Source organism: Homo sapiens, chromosome 20 (genome assembly GCF_000001405.40).
Source record: "Homo sapiens chromosome 20, GRCh38.p14 Primary Assembly".
Lineage (NCBI taxonomy): Eukaryota > Metazoa > Chordata > Mammalia > Primates > Hominidae > Homo > Homo sapiens.
Window position 1 is genome coordinate 18,224,707 of NC_000020.11, and position 7,726 is coordinate 18,232,432.

At 46.8% G+C, this 7,726-nt stretch overlaps 1 annotated feature.

Annotated features, from left to right (window-relative positions):
• Nucleotides 605-1,104: an enhancer, noted in NCBI's record as "H3K27ac hESC enhancer chr20:18205955-18206454 (GRCh37/hg19 assembly coordinates)". NCBI's record gives its function as "activates a minimal SCP1, AML or CMV promoter by ChIP-STARR-seq in primed H9 embryonic stem cells {active_cell/tissue: H9 hESC(primed)}" and the evidence as "EXISTENCE:reporter gene assay evidence [ECO:0000049][PMID:30033119]".

Consider the following 7,726-nt stretch of genomic DNA (forward strand, 5'->3'; position numbering starts at 1 on the left):
ATACTAGAGATAGGATTTCAACATATGTTTTTTGAGGAATACAATTCAACCCATAGCAGCTGCCCACAAGAGACCATGTCTCTAAATAAATAAACAAAACAACAAAACAATGCTTTCTTTACAGAAATCTCTCTCAGTGGCTGGGAAGACAGTATACCAAAAGCCCAGGTTTAACTTGATTTGATGGGTGATCCTAGGAATTTTTGTTCTTTGTATGCAACTTCCTATTGGCTAATAGGACCCAAAAAAAATCCATTTCAGGGACTCAGAGGGTAGGCGGTGTCTGTGTATCAGCCTGGCCTTATGCCCCCTCGGAGCCCCAGGCTGACTCATGGCAGGGTTCTCTCAGCTCAGCCCTCGTGCTTTCTTTGTTTCTCTTGTTGTTGAGCACAGCCTGGTTTTCCTGCCGGCTCCCACAGAGAGTGTGCCCTGTCCCACATCTCTGACGAGCTGACAATACAGAGCTGCAGGCTGGAGCCCCTGAGGACTGAGAGTATACTGACCTCTAACTTCTTCACCCTTGTCTGCAAGAAAAGAAAGCCTCTGAGCTGCAGGGTGGCAGGTCCTGGCTGTGTCATGATTCTTGAATCACAGATGTTTTTCTTGGCTGAATGCCGGGGCCAAACTATCCAGGGAACACTGGTGGGGCAGGGAAAAAAAAGAAGAAAGCCCTAAGTTTGTTTTCTTTGCTGTCTTTTTCATCCAGATTTAAACAGTGTCAAGGCTAAGACTGAGCAGATCTAGGGACAAACAGCAACAACCACCATCTGGAAAATCAGCGGGCAAGGTGCTCTGGCTAGGCCAGCAGGCACAGCAGCCCTTCAGAGGTGGTGACATTTGACTCTCGGCATAATCCCCCGTGTCCTGCCATTCTTTTGCTTACCTTTCCCATTCTGGGGTCTGCACTAAGGTCTGGAATTGAGAGCTGCTATATAGGACCTGATGTTAGCAGGCGTGTGCCCCAACTGTTTTCTCCAGTATCCTAAAAGAAGAGAAACCCCAAGCCAGCTACATGGATAATTCTTCTCTGGCCAAGAAAGAAAAATGCTCGCATGGATTATGCATTTTCAGAAGGAACCGTGCATTCTCAGAAGGGTGTTTTTCCTTTGCCAAGCTCTGTGCTGGGTTTTTCCTGTGCTGGGCTCAGACAGTGTTTGGCACAGAGTAGTCATTCATTTCACAAGTATGTATTGAGCACGTGTGATGTATTGTTCTAGGTGTTACTTAAATGGACAAAAGAGTAAAATAAAACCATAGTATCTAAACTAATTACAGAGTTTCTAAATGTTGGTGACATAGAGGCCTGGGACATTATTTTAGCTCTGTCATGTAGAGATCAATAGTGATAATTTGTTTTGTTCATGATTAATTAGACAGCAATATCATTGATGCTTCTATTCCAGAGCTGAGGCACCTTATGGTGCCAGTAAGGAGGGAAATGCCAGGAAAAAAAGGGTGAGGACAGTCAAAGGGCACAGGAATCAACCTGAAAGAGCTCCTAATGGCCAAAGCTGAAGCAATTTAAGACTTAAAAAAAGTAATGTTGGATTATAACCATAGAATAAACATCCATGAGTCCATACTGATACCAGTAAGTTTTTAAAAATCAGTAAATAAATAAATAAGGAAGAAAGAGCAGCTTTTGCTTATGTGTAGAAGGAATGAGGAAAATAGAAAATCACTGAGAAAAGCACAATAATAATTGTTGGACTCACCAATGAATTCTAAAACTATTCAGCAAAAGTTTGAGGACAAACAGGATATTTGCAGACTCAAGTATGTCCCCCAAAATGTTTATTAATTACAAAGAGAAATATAGTAATTTCAGAGCAGGCAAATCCAAGAGACACCACCTTAACTAGGTGATCAAAGATACTGAGAAGTGACAGCGTGCTGGCAGCCCTCACAGCCCTCGCTCGCTCTGGGTGCCTCCTCGGCCTTGGCACCCACTCTGGCCCTGCTTGAGGAGCCCTTCAGCCCGCCACTGCACTGTGGGAGCCCCTTTCTGGGCTGGCCAAGGCCAGAGCTGGCTCCCTCAGCTTGCAGGGGAGTGTGGAGGGAGAGACGCGAGCTGGAACCAGGGCTGCGCACGGTGCTGGCGGGCCAGCTGGAGTTCCGGGTGGGCGTGGGCTTGGCGGGCCCCGCACTTGGAGCAGCCAGTCGGCGCTGCCGGCTCCGGGCAATGAGGGGCTTAGAACCCAGGCCAATGGCTGCGGAGGGTATGTTGGGTCCCCCAGCAGTGCCGGCCCACCGGCACTGCGCTCGATTTCTCACCGGGCCTTAGCTGCCTCCCTGCGGGGCAGGGCTCAGGACCTGCAGTCCACCATGCCTGAGCCTCCTCCTCCTCCGTGGGCTCCTGTGCGGCCTGAGCCTCCCCGACGAGCGTGGCCCCCCGCTCCACAGCGCCCAGTCCCATCGACCACCCAAGGGCTGAGGAGTGCAGGCGCACGGCGCGGGACTGGCAGGCAGCTCCACCTGCTGCCCTGGTGCTGGATCCACTGGGTGAAGCCAGCTGGGCTCCTGAGTCTGGTGGGGACTTGGAGAACTTTTATGTCTAGCCAAGGGATTGTAAATACACCAATGGGCACTCTGTATCTAGCTCAAGGTTTGTGAATGCACCAATCAGCACCCTGTGTCTAGCTCAGGGTTTGTGAATGCACCAATCAACACTCTGTATCTAGCTATTCGGGTGGGGACTTGGAGAACCTTTGTATGGACACTCTGTATCTAGCTAATCTAGTGGGGACGTGGAGAACCTTTGTGTCTAGCTCAGGGATTGTAAATGCACCAATCAGCACCCTGTCAAAACAGACCACTGGGCTCTCTGTAAAATGGACCAATCAGCAGGATGTGGGTAGGGCCAGATAAGAGAATAAAAGCAGGCTGCCAGAGCCAGCAGTGGCAACCTGCTCGGGTCTCCTTCCACGCTGTGGAAGCTTTGTTCTTTCGCTTTTCGCAAATCCTGCTGCTGCTGCTCACTCTTTGGGTCTGCACTACCTTTATGAGCTGTAACATACGCCGTGAAGGTCTGCAGCTTCACCCCTGAAGCCAGCGAGATCGCAAACCCACCGGGGGGAGCGAACAACTCCAGACGCGCGCCCTTAAGAGCTGTAACACTCACTGCGAAGGGCTGCAGCTTCACTCCTGAGCCAGCGAGACCACGAACCCACCAGAAGGAAGAAACTACGAACACATCCGAACATCAGAAGGAACAAACTCTGGACACGCCGCCTTTAAGAACTGTAGCACTCACCACGAGGGTCCGCGGCTTCATTCTTAAAGTCAGTGAGACCAAGAACCCACCAATTCCGGACACAATGCCATCACCAGTAAGAAGATACATCAACATGATGTTCCCTCAGTAGGATGCAGGGAGAAGGAACAATGCCACCTGTGGTTTCCTGCCCAAAATGAATAGACTCCATCTAACGCCGAGACACACCCACGTTGAGAGATATTCTACGAAATCAGTGACCAGTACTTTTCAACAGTGGCAAAGTCATGAATGACAAGGGAAGACTGAGGGACTGTCACAGGTTTTAGGAGATTAAGGAGACATGACATCTATATGTGATAGTGGGAAAACTGTTGAAGCCCAAATAAAGTCTGCAGCTATGTTAATAGTATAGTACCCATGTCCATTTAGAATTTTTTTTTTTTTTTTTTTTTTTTTTTTTGAGACTTGAGACTCTCTCCATCACCCAGGCTGGAGTGCAGTAGGGCGATCTCGGCTCAGTGCAAGCTCCGCCTCCCAGGTTCACGCCATTCTCCTTCCTTAGCACCCCCTTCCCTCTTCCCCACCCCCCCACCCCCGCCATCAACTGGGACTACAGGCACCCGCCACCACGCCCAGCTAATTTTTTGTGTTTTTAGTAGAGACGGGGTTTCACTGTGTTAGCCAGGATGGTCTCGATCTCCTGACCTTGTGATCCGCCCGCCTTGGCCTCCAAAAGTGCTGGGATTACAGGCGTGAGCCACCGCGCCCAGCCTAGAAAAAAATTTTTTATAGTAAATAATCAAACAAGAATGTACATTTCTTAATTTTAATGTGGTTATACCAGATGTTGATATTGGGGGTAAAGGAGAACTCTACTATCTGCAACTTTTCTGTGAGCCTAAAACTGTTCTTTTTAAAAGCAAGAATACATTTGACGCTCAGTGCAGTGTCTCACACCTGTAATCCCAGCAGTTTGGAAGGGCGAGGGAGGCAGATCACCTGAGGTCAGGAGCCTAGCCAACATTATGAAACCCTGTCTCTACTAAAAATATAAAAACCAGCTGGACATGGTGGCAGGCACCTGCAGTCCTAGCTACTCTGGAGACTGAGGCAGGAGAATCCCTTGAACCCAGGAGATGGAGGTTGCAGTGAGCCGAGATCACTGTGCACTCTGCACTTAACTTTTTCAGAACAAAATACTGTATAAGCCACACTACCCCATACAAAGAACTGTAATTATTTGTAATTCTTATGAACTAGGTATTCATTTGTACAAATCTGGAAAGCCAGTGGGCGACAGAGTGAGACTCCGTCTCAAAAAAAACAAACAAAAAAAGGATACATTTGAAATCAGGTCTATTTTAGATTCCATAGAAAAAGATTTACTTTTAAAGATTCAGAATGGCCGGGTGTGGTGGCTCACACCTGTAATCCCAGCACTTTGGGAGGCCGAGGCAGCCAGATCATGAGGTCAGGAGATCGAGACCATCCTAGCTAACACGGTGAAACCTCGTCTCTACTAAAAGTACAAAAAATTAGCCAGGTGTGGTGGCGGGCGCCTGTAGTCCCAGCTACTCGGGAGACTGAGGCAGGAGAATGGCGTGAACCCAGGAGGCGGAGGTTGCAGTGAGCGGAGGTTGCAGTGAGCCAAGATTGTGCCACTGCACTCCAGCCTGGGCAACAGAGCAAGACTCCCTCTCAAAAAAAAAAAAAAAAAGATTCAGAATGGGCTGGGCGTGGTGGCTCACGCCTGTAATCCCAGCACTTTGGGAGGCCGAGGTGGCAGATCACCTGAGGACCAGCCTGGCTAACATGGTGAAACCCTGTCTCTACTAAAAATACAAAAATTAGCCAGGCATGGCGGCACCCACCTGTAATCTCAGCTACTCAGAAGGCTGAGGCAGGATAATCACTTGAACCTGGGAGGCGGACGTTGCAGTGAGCGGAGATCATGCCATTGCACTCCGGCCTGGGCGACAGAGAGAGACTCCGTCTCAGGAAAAAAAATAAAAAACAAAGATTCAGAATGATCTGGTTTTATAAAGCATGTGTTTATCATGAACTTGGTGTATTTAAGAGCGTAAACCCGTGTGTCTGTGAAAGGCTAAACCGGCTGTCAAGGTAACTGAGCCTTTGTTCTTGCTTTGCCCCTTTCTGACTCAGCATTACCAGGTCATCTTGGCTTTCCAGATTTGTACAAATGAATACCTAGTTCATAAGTATTACAAATGATTACAATTCTTTGTATGGGGGTAATGTGGCTTATACAGTATTTTGTTCTGAAAAACAAAGTAATACAAAAACTAGTCAGTGGTGTGAATTTTGTTTACCTGAAATCAGATGTCATGTTGATCACGTAACTTCTTCTGGCCTAACATTGACGCATTGATATCCTCAGACCAGGTCCAGAGAGGCCACTTCCCATAATACCAGGCTTTCATTACTGGCACCAAATTGGTGGGGAGAAAAAAGAAAGAAGGGATTTCTTTCTACTAAATAAACTCTTAGGACCTTCTGAGAGAAAGGATCAAATCTCAGGTAACCAGAAAGGTCACTGTGATTATGAAAATCATAGCAACCAATGGTTAAGCAGAAATGTAGATGACGCCATTTCTATTGTATCCATGTAACTACTGAGAAGAGTTAAATATTTCCTACTTCTACTGTCTGTGTACTTCTCAAAGAAACCTTTTTTTCAGTTGTTTTTTTTTTTTTTTTGGAGACTGAGTCTTGCTCCGTCGCCCAGGCTGGAGTGCAGTGACACAATCTTGGCTCACTGCAACCTCTGCCTCTCGGGTTCAAGCGATTCTCCCTGCTTCAGCCTCCCGAGTAGCTGGGACTACAAGTGCGTGCCACCGTGCCCGGCCTTTTAGTCTTTTTTAAAAAAAAATTTTGTATTTCCATAGTTTTTTTGGGGGGGAACAGGTGGTGTTTGGTTCCATGAGTAAGTTCTTTCGTGGTGATTTCTGAGATTTTGGTGCACCCACCACCCGAGCAGTGTACACGGAACCCAATTTGTAGACTTTTATCCCTCACCCCCTTCCCACCCTTTCCCCCTGGAGTCCCCACTGTCTATTGTATCATTATTATGCATTTGCGTCCTCATAGCTTAGCTCCCACTTACGAGTGAGAACATACGATGTTTGGTTTTTCCATTCCTGAGTTACTTCACTTAGAATCATAGTCTCCAATCCCATCAAAGTTGCTGGGAATGCCATTAATTCATTCCTTTTTATGGCTGAGTAGTATTCCATCACATATATATACCACAGTTCAAATAAACCTTTATTTTTAAGAATGCTGTATTTCTGGCCAGGCACAGTGACTCACGCCTGTAATCCCAGCACTTTGGGAAGCCAAGGCGGATGGATCACAAGGTCAAGAGTTCAAGACCATCCTAGCCAACATGGTGAAACCCCATCTCTACTAAAAATACAAAAATTAGCCAGGAGTGGTGGCATGTGCCTGTAGTCCTAGCTATTAGGGAAGCTGAGGCAGGAGAATCACTTGAACCCGGGAGGCGGAGGTTGCAGTGATCTGAGATTGCACCACTGCACTCCAGCCTGGGTGACAGAGCGAGACTCTGTCTCAAAAAAAAAAAATTGCTGTATTTCTTAACCAGGCACAGTGGCTCATGTTTGTAATCCTAGCACTTTGGGAGGCCGAGGCAGGCAGATCACTTGAGGCCAGGAGTTCAAGACCAACCTGGCCAACATGGTGAAACCCTGTCTCTACTAAAAATACAAAAATTAGCTGGGCGTCGTGGTACATGCTTGGAATCCCAGCTACTTGGAAGGCTGAGGCATGAGAATCACTTGAACGCAAGAGGTGGAGGTTGCAGTGAGCCAAGATCATGCTACTGCACTCCAGCCTGGGTGATGGAGTGACACTCTGTCTCAAAAAGAAAAAAAAGAAAAATGCTGTATTTTTAACAACATGTGCTATGTGTTCTTTCTTGGTCTATGAATAATAACCCTTATTGTGTAGGGAAAATGTGGCTGCAGCCAGGGTCACCATCGACACTTGTGCATACTGTGCACTACAAAATGCACCCAGCTGAGGGACAAGTAGGGGCTGACATCTGTCTTCCTCTCTGCTCCCCACGCTGCATGCCTGTGGGGCTGTAACTACCCAGAGGAATGCATGTCTTTTTCTAATTACACAAAGGTGCCAACTGGCTGTTAGCTCTACTCGTAGGTGTAGTGTATGTGTAATGGACTGGATCAGCAAATTGAGAGAGAGATTACAAGTTCAGTGCAGCAAAAGGCATTGTGGTGATCTATTTGAAATTCTTTACCATATTATGAAAAATATTCCTCTCTAAATCTAGTGTTTTCATTGAAAAATTCATACTCTCTGCCATACCAGAAACCTACTGTCACTACTCACATATTCTTCAGAAATTTCCTGAATACATCCAAATATATATTTTTGTACACACACACAGCCACAGCCACACATATATTCATTTATGCAAATGGAAGTTTGCTATTTTATCCCTTGTTTTTT